This window comes from Homo sapiens, chromosome 2 (genome assembly GCF_000001405.40).
Source record: "Homo sapiens chromosome 2, GRCh38.p14 Primary Assembly".
Classification (NCBI taxonomy): domain Eukaryota; kingdom Metazoa; phylum Chordata; class Mammalia; order Primates; family Hominidae; genus Homo; species Homo sapiens.
The window spans coordinates 208,200,693-208,225,256 of NC_000002.12; the positions used below are offsets into that span (position 1 = coordinate 208,200,693).

At 43.7% G+C, this 24,564-nt stretch overlaps 2 pseudogenes, besides 1 other annotated feature; one reads left to right on the forward strand and one right to left on the reverse strand.

The window, feature by feature from the left end:
- On the forward strand, positions 7,367 to 8,374 carry RPSAP27 (ribosomal protein SA pseudogene 27; annotated as a pseudogene).
- On the reverse strand, positions 14,032 to 21,933 carry TPT1P2 (TPT1 pseudogene 2; annotated as a pseudogene).
- Positions 15,252 to 15,814: an enhancer, noted in NCBI's record as "OCT4-NANOG hESC enhancer chr2:209080668-209081230 (GRCh37/hg19 assembly coordinates)". NCBI's record gives its function as "activates a minimal SCP1, AML or CMV promoter by ChIP-STARR-seq in naive and primed H9 embryonic stem cells {active_cell/tissue: H9 hESC(naive and primed)}" and the evidence as "EXISTENCE:reporter gene assay evidence [ECO:0000049][PMID:30033119]".
- Positions 21,934 to 24,564: the final 2,631 nt, after the last annotated feature.

Below are 24,564 nucleotides of genomic sequence, written 5' to 3' on the forward strand. Positions count from 1 at the left end.
TTAGCCAAAGACACCCTAAGTGATACACTCTTCTAAATCCAACCTCAAAACTCATCCCAGGATTCTTGGTAGAAGGAACTGCAATAGAAGAGTGAATAAAAACAAAAAGTAATCACCAAGGGACTCTGGGTGGACAATTTGTCCACAGAGTCTTGCTCTGTCACCCAGGCTGGAGTGCAGTGGAGAGATCTCGGCTCACTGCAAGCTCCACCTCCCGGGTTCATGCTATTCTCCTGCCTCAGCCTCCTGAGTAGCTGGGACTACAGGCACCCGCCACCACACCCGGCTATTTTTTTGTATTTTTAGTAGAGACGGGGTTTCACCGTGTTAGCCAGGATGGTCTCGATCTCCCGACCTCGTGATCCACCCGCCTTGGCCTCCCAAAGTGCTGGGATTACAGGCGTGAGCCACTGTGCCCGGCCTCTGGGTGGACAATTTGGCAGCAGTAGGGGTACCACAGTTTCTGCCATGATGGTAGACAATGCCACCAGCTGTGGAGGCAGAAGAGGAAGGCAGACATCAGCAGCTTGGCACCTGGCATCACCAATAGGTGTTATAACAAGCAGACCCTGAGAGGTGCCAGTAGGAGCTCTCTTTGTGATCTTCTCTTGGTGGATGTCAGTGCCGTCTTCCCTGACTCACCATTTGTGGCTCAGGCTGCAACAAAACACATTATTGTAAGACGCTTGGCAACATGTAACTAGCCATTTGCTAGCCGTGGGGTATCAAAGCAATGTGCTAAACATTTCTAAGGTAATCTACACATTGTGTGTAATATTAATAACAGGTTTGTGAAGGATGCAGATCAACTTAGACAATGGGTAGGAAAGGTAGCCCCGTGCTTGCAACAAAATCTTTATTCAATAACTTTAATTCAGGCAGTTCAGCTAATATTAATGTGTGAAAAGGTGTTTCCTGTGGGAAAGAGCTTCCAGAACAAAGAATGTGTACTGAAGATAAAGATAAAATCTTTAATTTCCTAGAGTGCTCTGATGCAAAGCTTCCAGTATTTGCACTAAGAAGACTCTGCCTCCCTCACTCACAGAGGGTCCTGGTGAGCCATTGGGAAACAGACTGCCATTGAAATATCTTAATTAGGGGTGACTTTCCCCCTCAATGCTTATCCTAAGTTCTTGAAAGCAGGATTGTCCTTTTTAAAAAATTAATTATTATTTATTTATTTATGTATTTTTAGACTGAGTCTCCCTCCGTCGCCCAGGCTGGAGTGTGGTTGTGCAATCTCAGCTTATAGCAACTTCCATCTCCTGGATTTAAGTGATTCTCATGCCTCAGCCTCTCAAGTAGCTGGGATTACAGGTGTATGCCACCACATCCAGCTAATTTTTGTATTTTTAGTAGAGACAGGGTTTTGCCATGTTGGCCAGGCTGGTCTTAAACTCCTGACCTCAAGCGATCCACTTGCCTTGGCCTCCCAAAGTGCTGGGATTATAGGCATGAGGCTCCGTGCCTGGCCTGTCCTTTTATTTTTAAAGTAAAACTTGTTCTTAGACAAAAAAAAAAATGGTAACTTTTGAAGCATGACCTTTTATTCTCTCCAATCGGGTTAGCAAATAATTTTCTTAGTTGTTTTGTTACTATTATCGTTGTTTTTAAGGAAGATATTTCCAAGGGTAGCACTTCAGGATGATTTGTCTCCTTGAGTTTGTTGAGAAATAAAAGGTCTGGGTAAGGCCAATCATGTCATGTTTCCAAAACATCTCTTGGAAAAAAATTAAGGTGGCCATATTAACTGTCTTTTCTTCACTGTGTTCTTCTTGAAGGCAGAGTCTTTGTCCTATTGGTATTTGTCCTTTATGAGGGCAGTGAATAGAAGAGATTCTCCTAGCTTCCTGCCAGCAACGCCTCTCACATTGAGGCTGAGCAGCATTTCTATCTTTATAGAATTGCAGTATAATAGGAAAAATGAAAATAAAAAGTCAAAATTTGTTTGTAAAAACTGTCATATGTTTTAAATGGTGAATTAAATATAAAAATATTTGAATTATAATGTAATATAAATGTGCTGTTTAGAAAATAATCGGAAGAAAAGGATATGAATCCATCGTGATCTAGAAATAAGATATAAGTTTAAAGTTGACCCATGAAGATTTTTGTGTTTGTTTTCTTCAACTCCAAGTGTAGATACAATTAGAGTGATGTCAAGAGTGGGGTGAATATGAGGTGGAGACATAATAGACCCCCTGGCCTGTCACTTCATCCTCATCCACACTCTAAGATAAGTCTACTTATTAGGTCCAGATGTGGTGGCTCATGCCTGTAATCCCAGCACTTTGGGAAGCCAAGTGGGTGAATTGCTTGAGCCCAGGAGTTCCAGACCAGCCTGGGCAACTTGGCCACACCCCGTCTCTACAGAATTTAAAAAAAAAAAAAAAAAAAAAAAAAGCTGGCTATAGTGTCACGTGCCTGTAGTCCAAGCTACTTGGGAAGCTGAGGCAGGAGGATCACCTAAGTCCAGGGAGGTCGAGACTGCAGTGAACCATGGTCACGCCACTGCATTCCAGTCTGGGCAACAGAGTAAGACTGCTTCAAAAAAAAAAAAAGTCTCCTTATTAGATACACAAGCTGTTAAAGATATCTTAAGATAGAAACTGTATGTTACAGAACTTGTATGTTTAAAATATTACCTATTAGGCCAGGCGTGGTGGCTCATGCCTGTAATCCCAGCACTTTAGAAGAACAAGGCAGGCAGATCACTTGAGATCAGGAGTTCGAGACCAGCCTGGCCAACATGGAGAAACCCCATCTCTACTAAGAACACAAAAATTACCCAGGCTTGGTGGTACATGCCTGTAATCCCAGCTACTCGGGTGGCTGAGGCATGAGAATCACCTGAACCTGGGGAGGCTGCAGTGAGCCCAGATTGTGCCAATGCACTCCAGCCTGGGTGAAAGAGAAAGACTCTGTCAAAAAAAAAAAAAAAAGAAAGAACAGAAAAGAAAAAAAGGAAAGTTAACTTGTAAAATTAGACTGATTTTATTACTTCTAACTTAAAACTGTGGCTTTTCTCTGTACCAGCTGGTTTGGATGCAGGCGGGATCGCTGTTTGGATAGATGGTCAAGGGATTTGAGTTGGAAACATGGAATCACAGGCTGTAAGAACTAGAAGGGTAATATTGAGTAAAATTTTCTGCCTCAGAGGACAAGAAATATCCCTAAGGCCACAGATAAGCTGAGGCCAGAAGCCAGGCCTCATAATTGAGAGCCCAAGTGACCTTGTTGTTACAAACACACTTTAGAAGGCTTCAAACATGAAACAGAAGCTTCAGGTTGTTCAAAACAGCGCTCCTTTATCCATCTCCCTCCTTGTTGAAATAAATTATAGTTAGCTTTCCCATTTGTCCTAGGATATTTGATACTGTGATAAGCCATGCCTTGTTGATCCTAAAGTGAAGAAGTGAATTGCCTGTGTTAATCACATGAAACCTTGTTTCATTCCATTCCTTAAATTCTCAAAAGCAAACTTGCCTCAAAAAACTGTGTAAACTATACTCAACTAAAGACTCGTCTCACTAACACAGTAGAATGAAAGAAGGCAGTCGCAGAACACACATGATCTGATTCATGTATATAAAGTACAAAAAATGGTAAAACGACTCTAGGCTTTTGGAAGCCAGGGGAACGGTTACTAAATCTTTGTTGCCAGGATGTGGAAGGGGCACATCTGGGGACTTCCTGTGTTCTCTAACATTCTGGGTCTTGATCTGGGGCTAACAAGGGAATGTTCAACTTGTAAAAATTCACCGAGCTGTATACTCATGATATGTGCTGTTTTCTATATATTTATTGTATTTCAATTAAAAATTCTACAAATGGACAGAAGAATTAGTAATTGTCATGGGTCCATCTTAATGTGCCTGGGATGAGCAAAATTTAGAAACAGAGTTATTTATAATCTGTTCTGTTAGATTAGATCCCATCTCTAGAGCCACATCTAGAAGCATGAAGTTGAATTTTACTGAGCTTTTCTGCAAGAATAAAATAGTTCTTTTTAAATTTGGTGCCAGCTCAGAAAAAGTTATCTTTGTATTGCTGTTAGAGAGAGGTAGTTGTTTGTTTGTTTATTTGTTTTTTTAAGATGGAGTCTCACCCTGTCGCCCAGGCTGGAGTGCAATGGTGCGATCTCAGCTCACTGCAACCTCCGCCTCCCAGGTTCAAACGATTCTCCTGCCTCAGCCTCCTAGGTAGCTGGGATTACAGGTGTGCACCGCCATGTCTGGCTAATTTTTATATTTTTAGTAGAGACAGGGTTTCACCATGTTGGCCAGGCTGGTCTCGAACTTCTGATCTTGTGATCCACCCACCTCGGCCTCCCAAAGTGCTGGGATTACAGGCGTGAGCCACTGTGCCTGGCCGAGAGGTAGTTTTAATTGCCCTTGCTGCCTCCAAAATCCTGTGTTTTGTGAGATATGAACATTCATTTCATCAGTTATTCCATGATAATCTGCAAAAAAGGGTTCATACCAGAAGAGATGAAGACAGCAAGGCTGGATTCTCAGAAACAGTGAGTAAAAATAACTTGCAGAATCTCTATGGTGAAATTCCTTTGTGTCCACTCTACTCTGGGCATAATATACCTAATTGGTATATTCTTTTTTTTTTTTTTTGAGACGGAGTTTTGCTCTTGTCACCCAGGCTGGAGTGCAATGGCGTGATCTCAGCTCACTGCAACCTCTGCCTCCCAGGTTCAAGCAATTCTCCTGCCTCAGCCTCCCAAGTAGCTGGGATGACAGGCGCATGCCACCACGCCCAGCTAATTTTTTTATTTTTAGTAGAGACGGGGTTTCACCATGTTGGTCATGCTGGTCCCAATCTCCTCATCTCAAGTGATCCACCAGCCTCGGCCTCCCAAAGTGTTGGAATTACAGGCATGAGCCACCATGCCAGTCCCCTAATTGCTATATTCTTGATGACAAGTATCAGAAAATTATTTGATTTAAGCTCTTTGATTAAAGCTCATTTAATTTAAGCTCATTTTCTTCTTTCAAAAATTGATTATCATTCAAAGTCATCTTCTTGGGAAACATTACTGTTTTTGGGTTGTAATACAAAATAATTACAATTCTTCTTGGTTGGTTGTCACTCCTATTTCATGTGTTCATCCATACGGCCATTTATTCATTTTTACAGACATCTTTCTATACATATTCATGAAGCTTGGAAGGACACATCCCCTGCTGACTTACCTGGCTCATAAATTTGGAAGTACCTTCAGTTTACTCCTCTGTGACAGGATCAGGCCCTATGGGGGAGGTAGGCCTGTGGTATATAGCAATGCAGTGACTTGAGGGGTGAGACAGCCCCAATAAGGGCATTAGCAGGTATTAATAAGGGAGCTTCGCTAGATCCAAGCCATTCCTTCAATATCAGCTTCATCAGTAATTAAATTGACATTTTCTTTGCCTGGTTTCTGTGTCTAGCTCTCAGTGGCTCCAAATTTGAGCAAAAAGAAAAAGTAGATTTTATCTCTTAGCCCCCTACAATCCCAAATTTATATGGATGGTGGAGAGTAGGGCTTATGGAATCCTGTCTTGGCTACTAATGGCTTTGCGACCCGAGTTGTTTAACCTTTTTGTGCGTCAATTTCCCATTTGCAAAAGGAGAATCTTAATAGTATCAGCCTCATGAAACTGTTACAAAAACTACGTGGGTTTATTCATGTGTACAACTTAAAACAGTACGTAGGTTTGCAGCGGCAGGGTCTGGAAAAGGGGTGGCAGGTGCCACATCCAGCCATGAAGGTGGCAAATGGAAGCCCCTGAAACAGCTCAAGAAGCAGGCCAAGGAGATGGACGAGGAAGATGGGGCTCTCTAGCAGACACACAAGGAGGGCAGCAGAAACTGGAGATGCTGAAAGCGAGGCCGTGGCGAAGGGCCTCTGGACGCAGTGGAGTTAGGAATCCTGACACAAAGCAAGCTGCTCCTTGTGCCTGAGGCAAGGGTGGCCCTTGATCCATTCCTAGTTAAACACTTGGATTCCCTGCCATAGCACATTTTGCCACCTATAGCTGGAATGAGGTGTTGTCTTGAAGCTTGTTGTACATTTAGAAATAATCTTTCATAAAAAACAAAAATAAAAAATACTGTGCCTCATTGGATCTTTGTTTTTCCTCAGCCTTAGCTGTGAATTTAAAGTCAGCCCAGCCCAGCATCCTGCCAGAGCTTGCTCTTTGGTCTTAGTCTGACTGAATTCTGTATCATCTGGAAATAAACTAGCTCATTTGAAAGACCAAAAAAAGGCCGGGCGCGGTGGCTCACGCCTGTAATCCCAGCACTTTGGGAGGCCGAGGTGGCCGGATCACAAGGTCAGGAGATGAGACCATCCTGGCTAACACGGTGAAACCCCGTCTCTACTAAAAATACAAAAAATTAGCCGGGCGTAGCGGCGGGCGCCTGTAGTCCCAGCTACTCGGGAGGCTGAGGCAGAAGAATGGCGTGAACCTGGGAGGCGGAGCTTGCAGTGAGCCGAGATGGCACCACTGCACTCCAGCCTGGGCGACAGAGCCAAACTCCGTCTCAAAACAAACAAACAAGCAAACAAAAAAATACATGGCACATCAAAAGTACTCATTAAATGACTTTTTTTTGAGACACAGCAAGACTCTGTCACCCACGTTGAAGTGCAGTGGTGCAATCTCAGCTCACTGCACCTTCGACTTCCTTGGCTCAAGCGATCCTCTCACCTCAGCCCTCCTGAGTAGCTGGGATTATAGGCAAGTCCCACCACGCCCGGCTAATTTTATTTATTTTTTGTAGAGGCAAGGTCTCACTATGTTGGCCAGGCTGGTCTTGAACTCCTGGACTCAAGCAATCCTCTTGCCTCAGCCTCCCAAAGTGCTGGGATTACAGGCATTAACCACCACACCCGGCCAATGGATGTTATTCATAATATTTTAACCAAAATAATACTATGCTGTTCTGTAGCCCCTTCTCCACCTTTTCTTCAGTCAACCACACATCATGAATATCTTTCCATGTCTGCAAATACACTCCTATCCCATTACAATTAAAGCCTGACAAGCGTTTCACTGTGTAAAGCTTCCACAACGAATCTGCCAATCCCTTATTGCCCCCTCTTTAAACAGATATCTTGGAATTCAGGGAAAGAAGGTGGAATATGTACAAGCTTGTTAACTTCTTCCAAGTATTGATAAAAAAAAAAAAAAAACTAAAAAATAAATAAAAATAGGGTAGGTTTTATGAGCCTTGAAACCAGGAAATAGTGCCAGCCCCGTTTCATAAACTCAGAACAATATTTCCCAATACAGCTTGACTCAAATGAGAGAAAGTGTCCATAATTCCCTTTAACACACTGTTCTCGGTACTTGATAAAAAATAACATAGAAGTTTTTCCATGCTACCTAAGAGGGATCTATATGGTGCTGTTCCTTATTCTCGTCATAACTTAAAGGGAAACTTTCACAATGTCCAGAGCCCTTTATGTCCTGCAAATGAAAGAGAAGGATGTCCTCAAATTTCTTGCAGCAGGAACCCACTAAGGTGGCACCAACCTTGACTTCCAAATGGAACAGTACATTACAAAAGGAAAAGTGACCATCATCAATCTGAAGAGGACCCGGGAGAAGTTTCTGCTGGCAGCTCGTGCCATTGAAAACCCCTCTGAGGTCAATGTCATGTCCTCTAGGAACACTGGCCAGGGGGCTGTGCTGAAGGTTGCTGCTGTCATGGGAGCCACTCTTATTGCTGGTAGCTTCACTCCTAGAACCTTCACTCACCAGATCCGGTCAGCCTTTTGGGAGTGTCTGCTGATGGTTACTGATTCCAGGGCTGACCACCAGCCTCTCGCAAAGGCATCTTGTGTTAACCTGCCCACCATTGCCTTGTGTCCTCTGCACTGTGTGGACATGGCCATCCCATACAACAACAAGAGAGCTTGCTAGTGGTTCCAAAGTGGTGGACGCTGGCCTGGGAATTTCTTTGCACACGTAGCACTTTCTCCCATGAACACCCATAGGAGGTCATGCCTGATCTCTCTTTCTAGAGATCCTGGAGAGATTGAAAAAGAAGAGCAGGCCACAGCTGGAAAAGCTGAGACCCAGGAGGAATTTCAGGGTGAATGGACTGCTCCAACTCCTGAGTTCGCTGCTACTGAGCCTGAGGTTGCAGACTGGCCTGAAGTTGCGCAGGTGCCCTCTGGGCCTATTCAGCAGGTCCCCACTGAAGACTGGAGCACTCAGCCTGCCGCTGAAACTGGTCTGCAGCTCCCGTGCTCAGGCCAGTGAACGGGTAGGAACAACCACTGAGTGATCTTAAACTGTTCTTCCACAGGCTCTTAAGCAACATGGAAATAAGGCTGATGGAAAATAAACATCAATTTCTTAAAAAAAAAAAGTTGAAGAAAGGCTCTAAAAGGATCTGAGCAGTGAAATAAATTAGGTTGACCTCAGTGCTCTCATAACTTTTTATAACATCTTCCATCTTGGTAAACTCAACCATCTTATTTTTAAAAAATATTTACATTATGGAAATAAGGTTTTTACAGTGCTCCCCCAAATAAAATTACAATATAACATAGAATATGTTGTTATCAAACAATACATCTCACCTCTCTTTCACTGCTGCCATGCTCTCTTTACTCTGTACTTTTAGTTGAGAATCACAATCTTTTTTTTTTTTTCGAGATAGTCTCGCTCTGTCGCCAGGCTGGAGTGCAGTCGCGCGATCTTGGCTCACTGCAACCTCCACCTCCCGGGTTCACGCCATTCTCCTGCCTCAGCCTCCCAAGTAGCTGGGACTACAGGTGCCCACCACCATGCCAGGCTAATTTTTGTATTTTTGGTAGAGACACGGTTTCACCATGTTGGCCAGGATGGTCTCTATCTCTTGACCTCGTGATCTGCCCGTCTCTGCTTCCCAAAGTGCTGGGATTACAGGCGTGAGCCACTGCGCCCAGCACAATCTTATTAATAGTTGTGTACGGAGCCCTGCAAGCAGAGCACACACCTCCTTCACCAACTCCATGGAACATTTCATGAAATTAATCTCAGAATCATGGTGTCAGAAAGAAGAGTCTTATTTTGTCACTTCAGTTAGATCATTAGTCACTAGGCACTTCCCTCTCCCCTTCCTGCTCAGGATCTAGTTTAACTGTTAGCTGTAAGTAGACTAGATAGAAGGTTTCAGAAACATACTAAGACTTCTGAGTTAGGCTTCATATTTAAGTGTTACCTCTGCCACAGAAGGCTGGGGACAGAGTTTATAATAGAGTTTCAATAATAATGATGAGCAATATTAATTTTCTGGTTCTTTTTATTAATATGAAATTCTTTATTTGGATCAACAGATAAATGATTATCAACAAAACAGTTTTCATTATGAGTGTAATTTTACTTCGACGAGCACGCTATAGACCTTTGGAACTATTCTAATGTAGAAAATGTATAGGTGTGATATAGAAAATACATTATCTATGTTGGCGTTGAAAAAGGTGGTCTGTTACTTATTCTCATTATGTTTTCCATATGTTCTTTTGCAAGCATAAACATAAAATGTATGTAATTTCAAAATCATTTAAATATGCAATTTTTATTTCTCCATGCAACCTCCAATTTCAGGTGTTGTTTTTCAATTTATTTATTTATTTATTTAGAGACAGAGTCTCACTCTGTCGCCCAGGCTGGAGAGCAATGGTGCGACCTCGGCTCACTGCAACTTCCGCCTCCTGGGTTCAAGCAATTCTCCTGCCTCAGCCTCCCAAGTAGCTGGGATTACAGGCACCCACCACCATGCCCAGCTAATTTTTTGTATTTTTAGTAGAGACAATAGAATCTCATCTTTACCACTTTCCATCTGTGGCAGATTATATTTTCTGAGATGACACAACAGTTCTCCTCAGGCTCTTCTTAAAAAGTGACATTGGCACTACTCTCATCAAGGTTGGGCAGGGGGTTCGTCCCCTCTCCTTGAATCTGGACAAGCCAGTAATTATAGTAGAAGTGAAAGTGTGTGACTTTCCAGGCTAGGTCTTAAAAGGCAATATATAAAATATTAGTCAACAATAAAAGGAACAAACTATTGATACATGTATAGTTGGATGGATCTCAATGTGCTTAGTGAAAAAAGCCAATCTCAAAAGATCGCATACTGTATGGTTTCATTATGTAACATTCTGGAAATGACAAAATGAGACAGATGGTTGCCAGGGGACAGGTGTGAGGGTGGGAAGGAGCGAATGTGACTACAAAGAGAGAGCACTGTGGGCTCCACACATGCACATACAAATGAGTGCGTGTAAAAACTGGCAAAACAGAATAAGTTCTGTAGCCTAGTTAACAGTTTTGTGCAAATGTCCATTTCCTGGTCCTGATACTGTTCTACAGTTATAGAAGATCTCACCATTGGAGGAAGCTGAATAAAACATTCATTAGACTCTCTTACTCTATTTGCAGCTTCCTGTTAGTTTGTAATTAATTCAAAATAAGAAAGTTTTTTTCTTTTTTAACAAAAGGCAATACCACTTTTACCTGAAATGCTTGCTTTTGAAGCCCAGCTTCGATGCTATAGGGAAGTCCAGGTCACATGGAGAGGCCATGTGCAGGACTCTGGATGACAGCGCTATCTGGAGTCCCAGCCAATAGACACATGTGGGAGGAAACATTCAAATGATGCCAGCCACAGCCACCATCCACCATAACTCCGTGGAAGCCCCCAAGTGAGCCTCACTAAGCGAGAATCGCCTAGGTGAGCCCAGTCAGCTTCCAGAACCGTAAGAAGTAACTTAAGCCACTAAGTTTTGAGATAATTTATTATGCTACCAAAGATGACCAGAATACCATCAATGTGACCTGGGCCAGTCTGTGCCTCAGTTTCTTTTTTTATGAAACAGAGTACCTACACCACAAGGTTATTGCAAGCATAGAACAAGTAATCAAGTAAAAAATCTAGGACAGTGCTTATATGAGGTAAACAAATGTTAGCTACAATTATCATTATTGTGCATCCAAACTATAATAAAAGGGCAAAAAAGAGGCTGGGTGCAGTGGCTCACGCCTGTAATCCCAGCACTTTGGGAGGCCTAGGCAGTCAGATCACGAGGTCAGGAGATCCAGACCATCCCGGCTAACATGGTGAAACCCCGTCTCTACTAAAAATACAAAATTTAGCCGGGTGTGGTGGCGGGCACCTGTAGTCCCAGCTACTTGGGAGGCTGAGGCAGGAGAATGGCGTGAACCCAGGAGGCAGAGCTTGCAGTGAGATCTCGCCACTGCACTCTAGCCTAGGCGACAGAGCGAGACTCCGCGTCAAAAAAAAAAAAAAAAAAAAAAAAAAAAGAGAGAAAAAAGATATGAACTAGCGCACATAGATGGGATCGATTCCAAAACGACACTGAATGACTTTTTGCCTCTTATCCCCAGAGACTGAGCCTAAGCCACTGGAACTTGGCAATAGAATGGCTTCTATCTTGGGCACGTCCTGAGATTACTTCTATTCTCTGATTTGCCTGTGGCGTAAACATACATTCTAAATAGAAGTAAGTGATGGTTCTGTTAAGTTGTCCCCCCACTGAAACTTCGACTCCAGAGAAAGTAACTTTTTTCTTCTATATGGATAAAAGCCTTCAGACCCAAAGGTATTTGTGGGTGCTAATCTGCCCCCATGGGTCAAAAAACATTCTTTCATGGAAAATATCTATTGTGTGAACAACACTTGAGCTATTTTGGAAGTACATTATTATAATACACAGCTTTATAAAAGGCCTTGCTGCTTTGTTTTTTTCCAATTTGAGCACAAAGTATGCTAAATCAAAGTATCTTTAAGGACCCCCTTTCACTACATCATTTATTGAAAAAAATTATGTGAAGCAGGTTATAAAAACAATAATTACCCTATACTCTATAATAATAATACCCTATAATTCCCAACGGCCGGGTGCGGTGGCTCACACCTGTAATCCTAGCACTTTGGGAGGCTGAGGCAGGTGGATCACCTGAGGTCGGAGTTCGAGACCAGCCTGACCAATATAGAGAAACCCCATCTCTACTAAAAATACAAAATTAGCTGGGCGTGGTGGTGCATCCCTGTAATCCCAGCTACTCGGGAGGCTGAGGCAGGAGAATCACTTGAACCTGGGAGCCAGAGGTTGTGGTTAGCTGAGATTGCGCCATTGCACTCCAGCTTGGGAAACAAGAGGGAGACTCCATCTCAAAAAAAAAAAAAAAAAAAAAAAAGAGAAAGAAAGAAAAAAGAAAGAAAGAAATTCCCACCATACTCTTGCCTCCTGAAAGCATGGTTACTGTCAATGTCCTAATGGATAAGGGCAGCAGACAATTTGGAAGAAAGATTAGGCAGAAGGGGAGGCAGAATTGATTAGGAGTGCGGGGTTGTGAGACCACCTTCAGGGAGTCTGAATTTTCCTCAAGGGTTAGTGCCTGGCCTGAAACCAAGGGGGGCGGTCAGAAACCAAGTCAGCCCAAAGATGCTGACTGCAGCTGTCTGGCAGGGCAGCAATGCATAGTTGCAACAGAAATCCTTAGGTAGCATCTAGGTACCTAGAACTTCAGACTTTGGAAAATACCAAATCATTAAACCTTAGATTCCAGTCCTTGCCCTGATCTGCTTGTTTTTTGAGGTTACCTTAGAATCTGGATTCACTATAGCTGACTCAGCCTAGTTCATCTTGTCAGTAATATTTAATCCCTGGACAGAAATAAATGAGAGAGGCCGGGCACGGTGGCTCACGCCTGTAATCTCAGCACTTTGGGAGGCCGAGGCAGGCAGATCACTTGAGGTCAGGAGTTCAAGACCAGCCTGACCAACATGGTGAAACTCCGTGTCTGCTAACAATACAAATTAATAAATAAATAAACAAAATGAATGAGAGAGAAAACTGATGTGTTGAATGGGAGGGGAATTAGAGAGGGATGCTGGGGAAAGAAGAGGTCTAGACACACACACACACACACACACACACACACACACAGAGATGATCAAACAGTTTCTTCGTTATCAATTTGAACTCTGTTTATTTATCACAAAAAAATTAAACAATAACCAGGAAGGCTCACCACAACTTCCTGCTGCAGCTGTGACAATGTTGTTGTAGTATATTTCATGATGTATCTGTGATTAATGGCCTTTTTCATTAAGGTTTTCCCATTCAAAGTGACTTGGAATGCAAATGTGCATTTCAGCCAGGAGATTGTGGGGAAAATATTGTAGAAATGCCTGAGAAGTAGGGCAAATGTTCTGGCAGCTACGGAACCAAGAACTCCTGACTTAACAAATAACTGTGTTTTACAAAGAGCCACAGGTGACCTTGCCACTCTCCTGATCCCCCTACTGAAGGTTTGTTTTCTTTCTGTCCCAGCTAAGTTAGTCTCTTTTTACTCTCTTGGTAGTCTCTTTCAGAGTTAACTACTTCCATTATAAGTGATGAAATGTATAAGGCTCCACTTCAGATGCTGGCATTGCTACGAGCATGGTCTTTCCCTTTACTGCAATTCAGAGTTAACACTTTTGATTCTTGGGGGTTTTTAAATTATATATATCTGTTTTTAGAGATGAGGTCTCACTATGTTGCCCAGGTTGGTCTCAAACTCCTAAGCTGAAGCAATCCTCCTGCCTCAGCCTGCCAAAGTGCCAGGATTACAGGCATGAGCCAGCAGGTCCAGCCTGATTCTTGCTTTTTATATTCCAGTCTCAGAAGTAGTTTCCACTGTAGAAGTTATCTGATGACAGTCTTATTCTTTCTAGTAGTGGCTTACAATCAGGCTTAGCTTCTCCAGGAACATTACAAGATGGACTTAGTTTAAATATGTTTTAAACTAAAAGGCATTCTCTCAAATGAGTTTAAATGCATTTAATTTTTAGACAACCTACCTGACATATTTTTCTTAAAGACAATGTCTCCACTCCAAATAAATTATGGTCAAAATAAATGAAGAGCTCAAGATGATATCAATCCCACTTGTGTGAAGTCCTGGTGTTAGGTGGATGACAAGCAGAAGCCAGTTATGACAACAGGTGAGAGATCCAAAGTAATTGCCAAATTTGTTAACATTTTTCCACTTCTAAACCAACCTTAAAAGCAATCACTGGGCACGGTGGCTCACACCTATAATCCCAGCAGACAGGCCAAGGCAGACAGATCGCTTAAGCTCAGGAATTCGAGACCAGTCTGGGTAACACAGCAAAACCTCATCTCCACAAAAAATACAAAAATTAGTCGGGCTTGGTGGCATGTGCCTGTAGTTCCAGCTACTTGGGAGGCTGAGGAAAGAGGATCACTTGAGCCTGGAAGGTGGAGGTTGCAGTGAGCTGAGATTGCCACTGCATTCCAGCCTGGGTGGCAGAGGGAGACCCTGTCTCAAAAAAAATACATAAGTAGACTAAACAAAATAACAATTGAGTCAAAAGGTTTTGAAAAGTATAAAAAAAAAAAAAGAAAGAAAATTATATCTGGGGTCACACTGTTACCAGTGGCAAATCCGAACGTGTTTGCAGCAACCTCAATTCTCGCCTTCTCAGAAGAAAGAATTTGATCAAGGAGGCCGAGGCAAGAGTTAGAGCAGGAGTGAAAGTCTATTAAAAAGCTTTAGAGCAGGAATGAAAGGAAGTAAAGTACACTTGGAAGAGGGCTAAGTGGGCAACTTGAGAGATCAACTGCACTGTTTGACCTTTGACTTGGGGTTTTATATGTTGGCATGCTTCTGGGGTCTTGCATCCCTTCTCCCTGGATTCTTCCCTTGGGTGGGCTGTCCGCATGCACGGTGGCCTGCTGGATCTTGGGAGGGGAGCATGTGTAGTGTGTTTACTGGACTTGTACGCATGCTCACTTGAGGCATTCTTCCCTTACCAGCTGAATCTTCCTAGGTGGTTATATACCAGTTAAATTCCGCCATTTTGCCTCTTAGTGTGCAAGCTTGAACCCACTCACTCAATTCCTGAGATCTTATTGGGAAGCTCCTTATCATCAGTTTCAGGTTTTTTTCTATCTATTGGGAGACTGCCTTTCCCTGGAGCTGGCTGCGACCAATTATTATTATTATTATTATTATTATTATTATTATTATTATTATTATTTTGAGACAGGGTCCCGCTCTGTCTCCCAGGTTGGAGTGTACTGGCGCAATCTAGGCTCACTGCAACTTCCGCCTCCTGGTTTCAAGTGATTCTCTTACCTTAGTTTAAATAACCACAGCTGGTTAATTTTTTTGTATTTTTAGTAGAGACAGGGTTTCACCTTGTAGGCTTTTCATGCGCGTCCGTGTGAAGAGACCACCAAAAAGGCTTTGTGTGAGCAACATGGCTGTTTATTTCACCTGGGTGCAGGAGGGCTGAGTCCAAAAAGAGAGTCAGCGAAGGGAAGGGAGATAAGGGTGGGGCCGTTTTATAGGATTTGGGTAGATAAAGGAAAACTACAGTCAAACGGGGTTGTTCTCTGGCGGGCAGAGTGGGGGTCACAAGGTGCTCAGTAGGAGAGCTTTTGAGCCAGGATGAGCCAGGAGAAGGAATTTCACAAGACAATGTCATCAGTTAAGGCAGGAACAGGCCATTTTCACTTCTTTTATGGTGGAATGTCATCAGTTAAGGCAGGAACTGGCCATCTGGATATGTACGTGGCGGTCACAGGGGATATGATGGCTTAGCTTGGGCTCAGAGGCCTGACATTCCTGTCTTCTTATATTAATAAGAAAAATAAAACGAAATAGTGGTAAAGTGTTGGGATGGTGAAAATTTTGGGGGGTGGTATGGAGAGATAATGGACGATGTTTCTCAGGGCTGCTTCAAGCGGGATTAGGGGCGGCGTGGGAACCTAGAGTGGGACAGATTAAGCTGAAGGAAGATTTTGTGGTAAGGGGTGATATCATGGGACTGTTAGAAGAAACATTTGTCATTTAGAATTATTGGTGATGGCCTGGATACGGTTTTGTATGAATTGAAAAACTAAATGGAATAAGAGAAGGAGAAAAACAGGTATTAAAGGTGTAAGAATTGGGAGGACCTAGGACATCTGATTAGAGTGCCTAAGGAGATTCAGCATAGTCCTGTCAGCAAAGATTATTTATTTACTTCAAGAGTTAAGAGTGGCAGTCTAGGGATAGCACCAGGAGATATCAGCTGTGATGGCTTGGAGAAACAGTGTAAACTGGCAGTGTAAACAAGAGCAGGGCATGTATGAGTAGTTGAGAACGGTGAATAGGAGTATGACTAGACAGAAGATAGTAGGGATGACAAGTTTTTTGGGGCACAGTCTAAGTTGGTCTGGTGTTTAGAATGAGACTGGGGCCTAATAAAAAGGAGCATCTATACAGGAGCTTAAATGGGCTGTACCTTGTAGCATTCCGAGGACAGGCCTGAATTCTGAGAAGCGAAAGTGGTAAAAGTATTGTCCAGTCCTTTTTAAGTTGGTGGCTGAGCTTGATGAGGTGTGTTTTTAATAGACCATTAGTCTGTCACTGAATACTAAGAGCCTGAAAAAATGCTTGGCTGATTTGACCAATAAAGGCTGGTCTGTTATCAGACTGTATAGAGGTGGGAAGGCTAAACTGAGGAATTATATCTGACAGAAGGGAAGAAATGACTGCGGTGGCCTTCTCAGACCCTGTAGGAAAGGCCTCTACTTATCTAGTGAAAGTGTCTACCTAGACTAAGAGGTATTTTAGTTATCCGACTTGGGGCATGTTGAGTAAAGCTAATTTGCCAGTCCTGGGTGGGGGCAAATCCTCGAGCTTGAAGTGTAGGGAAGGGAGGGGGCCTGAATAATCCCTGAGGAATAGTAGAATAGCAGATGGAACACTGAGAAGTTATTTCCTTGAGGATAGATTTCCACGATGGAAAGGAAATGAGAGGTTCTGAGAGGCGGGCTAGTGGCTTGTACTATAGCATAGCCTGCCTTTGCTGGTGTGTGGCGATTAGGTCTGGTGGAACCGCCACCAATAAATCAAGCGTGATCAGGGTGAGGAACAGGAAATAAGGAAATATGGGGAAATGGGGTGAATGTCAGATGGATCAGAGAAAGACAGTCATGGGGGTCAGGTGTGGTATCAGGAATAATGTGGGAGGCTGGATTGAAGTCGGGCCAGGAACGATGGTAATTGTGGGAGACTCAACGAAGAGTGAGTACAGCTGAAGGAGCCGGGGAGCAGAAAGTATATGTGTCAGGTGTGAGGAAGAAAATAAATTTTGGAAATTATAAGAGCTGTAGAGAGTGAGTTGAGCATAGTTTGTGATTTTAAGGGCCTCTAAAAGTATTACGGCGGCAGCAGCCACGGCACAGAGACATAATGGCCAGCTTAAAACAGGAAGGTCAAGTTGTTTGGACAAAAAGGCTACAGGATGCGATCCTGGTCCTTGTGTAAGAATTCTGACTGCACAGCCCTGCACTTCAGCTGTGTGTAATGAAAAGGGTTGGGATGAGTCAGGGAGAGCTAGAGTGGGGGCAGTCTCTAAAGCTGTCTTCAAGGAATGGAAAGAGGAGTGGGGAAAGGATTTAGGATCTATGGGGTCAGCTAGGTTTCCTTTTGTGAGTTTATATAATGGTCTTGTTAGGATGGCAAAACCAGGGATCCAAAGGCGAAAGTATCTAACCACGCCCAGGGAGGAAAGGAGTTATTGTTTTGTAGAAGGGGTTGGGGTTTGAGAGTTTAGTGGGACACGATCGGCAGGGAGACCATGTGTGTTTTTATGAAGAATTATGCCGAGGTAGGTAACAAATGGAGAAGAAATTTGAGCTTTGGAGGGGGAACCCGATATCCTTTGGAGGATAAATGCTGAAGGAGCAGGAGGGTGTGTTGTTGAGAAGATTCAAAGGAGGGGCTACAAAGAAGAAGGTCATTAATATATTGAATAAGGTGAGAAGCGGAGGAGTGGAAAGAAAGTAAATCATGAGAAAGAGCTTGGCTGAAGTAATGAGGGCTGTCCCTGAAACCTTGTGGCAGCACAGCCCAGGTAAGCTGCTGGGACTGATGTGTGTCAGGGTCAGTCCAGGTGAAAGCAAAGAGAGGCTGGGATGAGAGGTGCAGGGGAATAGTGAAAAAAGCATCTTTAAGATCAAGAACGGAACAGTTAGTTGTGGAGGAAGGTATTGAGGACAAAAGAGTGTACGGGTTGGGCACTACAGGGTGGATAGGCAAAACAATTTGGTTGATAAGGTGCAGATCCTGAACTAACTTGTAAGGCTTGTCTGGTTTTAGGACAGGTAAAATGGGGGAATTGTAAGGAGAGTTTATAGGTTTTAGAAGCCCATGCTATAGCAGGTGAGTGATAACAGGCTTCAAGCCTTTTAAATTGTGCTGTGGGATGGGATATTGGCGTTGAGTGGGGTAAGGGTGGTTAGGTTTTAATGGGATGGTAATGGGCATGTGACCGGTTGCCAGGGAAGGAGTAGCGATGTCCCATACTTGTGGGTTAAGGTAGGGGGGTATGAGAGGAAGACGCAAAGGAGGCATTGGGTTGGGGAGAAGGGCAGCAATGAGATGCAGCTGTACTCCAGGAATAGTCAGGGGAGCAGATAATTTGGTTAAAATATCTCGACCTAATAAGGGAACTAGGCAGGTGGGGATAACTAAAAAGGAGTGCTTAAAAGAGTATTGTCTAAGTTGGCACTAGAGTTGGGGAGTTTTAAGAGGTTTAGAAGCCTAGCCCTCAATACACACAGCAGTTATGGAAGCAAGGGAAACAGGCCCTTGAAAATAAGGCAATTGTGGAGTGAGTAGCCTCCATATTGATTAAGAAGGGGATGGACTTACCCTCCGCTGTGAGAGTTACCTAGAGCATCTGTGATGGTCCTGTAGGCTTCTGAGGCTATTGGGCAGTGTCAGTCTTCAGCTGCTAAGCTGAGAAGATCTGGGAAGGAGTCAGTCAGAGAGCCTTGGGCCAGAGTTCTAGGGGCTCTGGAAGTGGCTGCCAGATGAGTTGAACAGTCCAGTTTTCAGTGGGGTCCTGCACAGATGGGACATGGCTTAGGAGGAATCCCGGGCTGTGGGCATTCCTTGGCCCAGGGGCCAGATTTCCGGCACTTGTAGCAAGCTCCTGGGGGAGGAGGTTCTGGAGGAACCCCTGGCAGCTGCGGTTCAGGCGTCTGGAGTTCTTGTGTGCTGGAGATGTGGCTGGGGTTTGTCTCACAGTGGAGGCAAAGAATTGCAACTCAGAAACATGTTGCTACTTGGCTGACTCTAGTGTATTATTGTACACCTTGAAGTTGAGGTTAATTAAGTCCTATTGTGGGGTTTGAGGGCTGGAATTTAATTTTTGGAGATTTATTTAACGTTGGGAGCAGATTGGGTAATAAAATGTATATTGAGAATAAGACGGGCTTTTGACCTTTTAGGGTCTAGGGCTGTAAAGTGTCTCAGGGTTGCTGCCAAATGAGCCATGAACTGGGCTGGGTTTTTCATATTTGGTGAAAGAGCCTAAATGCTCACTGATTTGGGAGAGGTCTGATAAAGAAAAAGAAGCATTAACCTTGACTATGCCTTTAGCTTCAGCTACCTTTTTAAGAGGAAATTGCTGGGCAGGTGGGGGAGGGCTACTCACGGAATGAAACTGTAAACTGGACTGGGTGTGAGGAGGGGAGGTGATAAAAATATTACAGGGTGGAGGAGCAGAGGCTGAGGAAGAATTGGGACCTAGCTTGGCCTGGCGAAGAGCAGCCTGGGGAGGAGGCGGAGAGGACAGATGGGTCTGTAGAAAAGGAAGATTAGAAAGACTCAGCGACACTTGGGGTTGGTACTGAGGGGACAGGTAGGAGGGAAAGAAGGAAGATTTGGGACGAGTTGCATTGGGCACAGAGACTAGGGAGGGACCGATGTGTAAAAGAATGCCTGGACATCAGGCACCTCAGACCACTTACCTATTTTTTGACAAAAATTATTTAGGTCTTATAGGATGGAGAAATCGAAAATGCCGTTTTCTGGCCATTTACAACCACTGTCCGGTTTGTATTGGGGTCAAGCGGCATTGTAGAAGAAAATAAGGCATTTAGGTTTTAGGTCAGGTGAGAGTTGAAGAGGTTTTATGTTCTTAAGAACACAGGCTAAGGGAGAAGGAGGAGGAATGGAGGGTGGAAGTTTGCCTATAGTGAAGGAGGCAAGTTTAAAGAAAAGGGAGAGTAGAGACATGGAGGGAAGCGGTTCAGGGGTTCTTACCCTCCAGAAAAGCAGGAAAGGGGTCGGGGCATGGAAATAAGGGATCAGGGCACAGAGATGTAAGAGGTTGGGGTGTGGAAATAAGGGATTGGGGTGCAGAGATACGAGGTTGGGTACTTGCCCCTCCCCCAGAAAAGCAGGACTTGCTGCTAAGGGTGAAGGAGAAGGGGTTGGGGGTTTCTTGCCCCCCAGAAATGTGGAGAAGGGGTAGAGACACAGAGAGAAGGGGTTGGGGTACTCGCCCCTCCCCTAGAAAAGCGGGACTTGACGCTAGGGGTGAAGGACCATGGCAGGCATCCCTGCGTGGTCTGATACCTCTGAAACGTGGATGAATAATCAGAGAGGAGTCCCTGCAATGATTAAACACCAAGGGAAGGCTGCCTTCCCAGTCCGTGACCGGCGCTGGAGTTTTTGGGTCCATGGATAAAATGTGTCTCCTTTGTCTCTACCAGAAAATGAAAGGAATTGAAATTAAGAGAAGGGAGAGATTGAAGAGTGGAAAGGAGAAAGTGGTTGAGGGATAATGAGAGAGGTTGGAGAAGAGAGTAAGAAGAGGCCGCTTACCCGATTTAAAATTGGTGAGATGTTCCTTGGGCTGGTGGGTCTGAGGACCTGAGGTCGTAGGTGGATCTTTTTCACGGAGCAAAGAGCAGGAGGACAAGGGATTGATCTCTGAAGGGAGGTCCCCCGATCCGAGTCACGGCACCAAATTTCACTTGTGTTGGTGTGAAGAGACCACCAAACAGGCTTTGTGTGAGCAACATGGCTGTTTATTTCACCTGGGTGCAGGCGGGCTGAGTCCAAAAAGAGAGTCAGCGAAGGGAGATAAGGGTGGTGCCGTTTTATAGGATTTGGGTAGATAAAGGAAAATTACAGTCAAAGGGGGTTGTTCTCTGGCAGGCAGAGTGGGGGTCACAACATGCTCAGTAGGGGAGCTTTTGAGCCAGGATGAGCCAGGAGAAGGAATTTCACAAGACAATGTCATCAGTTAAGGCAGGAACAGGCCATTTTCACTTCTTTTATGGTGGAATGTCATCAGTTAAGGCAGGAACCGGCCATCTGGATGTGTACATGCAGGTCACAGGGGATATGATGGCTTAGCTTGGGCTCAGAGGCCTGACAAGGCTGGTCTCAAACTCCTGACCTCAGGTGATCTTCCTGCCTCGGCCTCCCAAAGTGCTGGAATTACAGCCATGAGCCACCACGCCTGGCCATGACCAATTATTATCTTAGAGAGACAGTTAACAACCGCCTGACCATCACCTGATGGTTGCCTGACATTCCTGGTGGGGGTGGGTGGAGCCCTCTTCTTCCCTGCTCATGCCTAACTAGCTACCTCCTGTAGTAACACCAGTCTCATGGTAGTCCAATAGAGCAACCATGCCATCTAGGTTCAGGTTTTCACTAATAAAAACTGGTATTGTTTTTGAAATTAGCAAGGGTGTGCTTGATTTGTTCTGCAGCCTCTGTCGTAACAGGTTTTAGTCTTTCCTGGTCTCTGTTCTTCAAGTTTGCCTTTGATTGATTGCATGTAATCTTGGATGTACTTCTTTATGCTTCCTTTGTAAAGCTGCTTTCTTTCAAGGGATGGTTCTTGACAATCTTAACACCAGTGATTACAGTGCTTTCTGTACATTTGCCCTTTGGGCCTTCAGTGGAGGCATTTCCACCAATGAGGGAGTCATCAATGCTACTCTCTGTCCTAGTGACCATCTTCTCCTCCACCTCCAGGCACAGCCATCTCCTGGATCTTGTAAATGTTGCAGAACATCTCATCGTGGCTGATGAGGTCCTGGTGAATAATCATAATTGCGGCTGAAGGGAGAGGCAGCGGGGCTAGCTTAGCAGGAGCCCTGAGCTTGAGCAGTGCAGTGCTGGGGGTGAGGGGAGCCAGTGGAAAAGCCCTAATAGGAGTTCTGAAAGGCATAACAATGACAGAAAACCCAGTTACTCATTTGAGAGAGTTTGTGGGTTCAGGAGTAGGAGAATGGAAATTGGGAATAACAGCTTGGAATAGTGGACCTCAGAGAAAGTTTCCTGCAAAAATTGCTGAAGCCAGCAAGGGGTAAGAATTAAATAATACACCTTATATACTATCTTAAATTGTACTCGTTAGAGATTACTCGCAATTAATTATCATCATCCTGTTTTTAAAATGGCTGACTAAACCAATGAAAACTTTTTGTAAATTTCTTACATATGGCAACTTTTCCCTAACCTCCTTTCATGGTTCTCAAACTTTGGCATTCATAGAAATCACCTGGAGAGCTTGTAAAATTGGAAATTCCTGGAGTCCTGCCTTCAGAGTCTGATTCAGTAGATGGAGCCCAAGAATCTGCATTTGAATATTCATTTGGGTGTTTCCAAATTAATTATCCATTGTGTGTTTTACCTATCACTGTTGAGTCTCATATAGGTGACCCTTGGTTCACATTTTGAGAAACATTTTGTCTAGATGCACTGAGAAAATGATAGTTTGACCTCTGTTCTGCTACTTACTGGCTGACCCTGAGCAAGTCACTTTTATTCTCTGGGCCTCAGTTTCCTCTTGTGTAAAATGCAGTGGTAGATGATGGTAAGAATGAAATGAAAATACCTATAAGGGACCATATACATAAATGTAAATTCCCTCAACTGTTATTCTAGTTAAATACTGAGGACTTACTAGATTGCTTCCCCAATAAGTTGTGTTCTAACACCAAACTGAATTATCCAAACTTTTGAAATGCAGTCTATTTGTATCCTTGCGTCTTGAACCTGGTATAAGGTTGAACTTATTTACCAAATACCATGTGTCCAGAAAGCAATTTACTTTCATTTTTTTTTGAGATGGAGTCTCGCTCTGTTGCCTAGGCTGGAGTGCAGTGGCGCCATCTCGGCTCACTGCAAGCTCCACCTCCCGGGTTCATGCCATTCTCCTGCCTCAGCCTCCTGAGTAGCTGGGACTACATGCAACCGCCACCACACCCGGCTAATTTTTTGTATTTTTAGTAGAGACAGGGTTTCACCGTGTTAGCCAGGATGGTCTCCATCTCCTGACCTTGTGATCTGCCTGCCTTGGCCTCCCAAAGTGCTGGGATTATAGGTGTGAGCCACCGCGCCAGCCGCAATTTACTTTCTAATGCTACAGACTGTCAGCGTAAATGTTAAGGTCATTAATTTTGCATAGAACTTAGTCTGTACACTGCTTTCCCATAACTCTAGTTTACATGGGATAATTCCCCTTATAAATCCTACACACTGTGACATAGGCCTAAGGTTTGTCATGCTCTTACAATCTCAGGGCTCTGCAGGAATTCATTCTTCTTTTTTCTTTTTTTTTTTTTTTTTTGAGACAGGGTCTCACTTTGTCACCCAGGCTGGAGTGTAGTGGTGCGATCTCAGCTCACTGCAACCTCCGCCTCCCAGGCTTAAGTGATTCTCCTGTCTCAGCCTCCCAAGTAGCTGGCATTACAGGTGTGAACGGCCATCACCTGGCTAATTTTTGTATTTTTAATAGAGATGGTTTCATCATGTTGGCCAAGCTGTCTTCTTTTTTTCCCTTTGTATTGCTTTCCTAGTCTACTCAATCCCCATTAATTTAATAATTTTAATAATTTTAATTTAATAATTTTCCATAAGGTTTATGCACAAAAGATTAAGAAAACAGTGTTTAAGGAATTGATGATTTCATAAGATTTATATAGATTAGATTAAGAAAACAATGTTTAAGACATTGTCCATTGCGACTAAAACTTCAAAAGTGCCTACTTTTGAGTGTTTTGTTTGCTTTTTTTTTTTTTGGAGAGGGCATCTCAGTATGTTGCCCAGGTTGGACTCAAATTCCTGGGCTCAAGTGATACTTCCACCTTAGCCTCCAGAGTAGCTGGAACTCTAGGCATGCGCCACTGCACATACCTTTGCCTACCCACTTTGTATCTGAATAAACAACAAATCTGAATCTTCCATGAGCAATTCACATAATTATTGAAATAATAAATAGATTTACATTTGTTTTCAAAAAGTTGCCTGTGTAATTTGTACACATGGTCCTCAAATACCAATGTAGAACGATGCATAGGTTCCCGTCTCTTTTTGGTAGTATATAAATGGTGTAGTATTAAGTTTCAAGTCTAACTTACCACACTGTGCCCATTGTGTGTGCCCATTGGCCAGGCCAGTCCCTGGCACACAGTGCACCCTCAAAAAAATATTTGTTGAATGAATGCATAGGTTTGGAATTTCAGTGGGAGTTGAATTTCTCTTAGAAGCTTATTCAGTTGTTTATGTGATACTCTATATTTTGTTACCTGTTGATTATTTTACTACCTTTGTTCAAAATGATTCCTGATCAGATGGCAAAGAAAATCAGTTCAGAAGACCAGGTGTGGTGGCTCATGCCTATAATCCCAGCCCTTTCAGTGGACAATGTGGGCAGATCATTTGAGGTCAGGAGCTT